At 43.4% G+C, this 1,845-nt stretch overlaps 1 annotated feature.

The window, feature by feature from the left end:
* Positions 236 to 759: an enhancer, noted in NCBI's record as "NANOG hESC enhancer chr2:235570023-235570546 (GRCh37/hg19 assembly coordinates)". NCBI's record gives its function as "activates a minimal SCP1, AML or CMV promoter by ChIP-STARR-seq in naive H9 embryonic stem cells {active_cell/tissue: H9 hESC(naive)}" and the evidence as "EXISTENCE:reporter gene assay evidence [ECO:0000049][PMID:30033119]".

The following is a 1,845-nucleotide window of genomic DNA, read 5'->3' as shown; positions in this document are numbered from 1 at the left end:
AGGGGCTCAAGCTCCACAGGCAGAGAAGGGGGTGAGGGGCAGCCCCTAACTGTACAAATCATCCAGGTCAGAAGGTTGGCCTTCTTCTGGTAACTCTGGTGCCCCCACATGTGTGTCTCAAGTTCCACATGGTCCAATGTCTCCATGCTTTGCATGTTGAAGACCATAGATACGCAAGTCTTATGTGCACTCCTTTCCAGGGCCCCTCTGAACTTGCTATCTCACTCCCAGGTTCTCACACAAGCTGAGCCCCTTCTCAGGCAGGGACATTTGTGCATGCAGTTCCTCCTTACTCACAGTTTCCTTTTCTTTTTTCCCAGTCCTTCAATGGCCAAATTCTTCTTGCCAGTCTGTCCCTCTTCCAGGAGCATCCCCTCGGAGTATCTTACCTGAGGCAGCATCACCTTCCTGCTTCAGGGTCTCTGTCCCACCCCTGGGCAATTTCCTTTGTAGAGCTCAGTAGGAATAATCTCTTGCTCATTTGTTGAATAGATTGTAACTTGCCTTCTCTGGCTACAATGGAAGCTCCACAAAGCAGGGACCTAAAGATTCACATTCATTAAAACATTGCCTTGCATTTGGTAGCTGCCTGGAGGGTATTTGCTAAGTGAAGAAATGGTTATGAACTCTTAGAGGAGGGCTCAAAAACAGATGAGACAATGGTTTTCTGGCAGGGAGGTATGGATAAGAAGAGGATCTTTGTGAGGGAAGTTCATGTGTATGAGCGGATAGGAGGGAAGAAGGCTCTTCCCAGCCATCTGCTCCTTGAGCCCCTCTGTCTTTGCCAGGAGTCTGAGCTCACAGCTGCTGCTGCTTAGGCATGGGTAGAGAATGAACGTATGTACTCTGCTCCAGGCTCAAGTCTGTTGGACACATTTTTATGAAAAGGTGTAATTGGCAATGGTAGAGTGATGCTGTTACGGATTTGGAAATATTTGCAATCTACTTTTAGGATAAAGAGGAATTACAACGGAATATGTTGATATAAGAGATTTAAAAAAAATCCATGGTATATTCTGGGATTAGTATGTCTTTATTTAACTTTCCTTCATTCTCATGGACCAAGATGTATGATGAAAAATGTATATTTAGCATGTCAACCACAACCTCAAATCCACAAATCACTGTAAGAACTTTTCCACAACTAATAAAAGGTTGATGGTGAGCTATGCTGAGAAAAAAGGCAGGAAAAATATTTTTAAATCAACATGAACCAAAACAAAATGTCTTATCATTAACTCTCAGTTGATCAGAAATACATTTTAATCTCATAAATTTAATTTCCAAGTTTTCCCACTAACCCAAATTTTAGTATATGAGATATAGGTCTCCAAATCTTAAAAATTCCAGTTTTTTTTTTTTTTTTTTTTTGAGACAGAGTCTCGCTCTGTCGCCCAGGCTGGAGTGCAGTGGCGCAATCTCAGCTCACTGCAAGCTCCGCCTCCTGGGTTCACACCATTCTCCTGCCTCAGCCTCCTGAGTAGCTGGGACTACAGGCGCGTGCCACCACGCCCGGCTAATTTTTTTGTATTTTTCAGTAGAGACGGGGTTTCACCATGTTAGCCAGGAAAAAATTCCAGTTTTTAAATTCAGTAATACAGGACATTTTTACAAACAGCATTTTTCTAAGGACTTGCTGTTTTTCATCAGAGCTAGGATCTGGCATCACAGCTCAAAGTTTAAGACTGCTCAGGGATTGTAAATACCTTGGAACCAGTTTTTGCCATTTAATTAACACCACTTGACTCCCAGGTGAGGGCTGTGCTGGGCTCAGTTTCTGAAGCCACTAGCCAGCCAGTCTCTTTCCCACACCTTCCTTTTGTTAGTGCTTCCTTTCGTTAGCTT

This window comes from Homo sapiens, chromosome 2, assembly GCF_000001405.40.
Source record: "Homo sapiens chromosome 2, GRCh38.p14 Primary Assembly".
NCBI lineage: Eukaryota > Metazoa > Chordata > Mammalia > Primates > Hominidae > Homo > Homo sapiens.
Note: the sequence above shows the minus strand (reverse complement) of the source record. Positions and strands in the feature narration are given on the sequence as shown.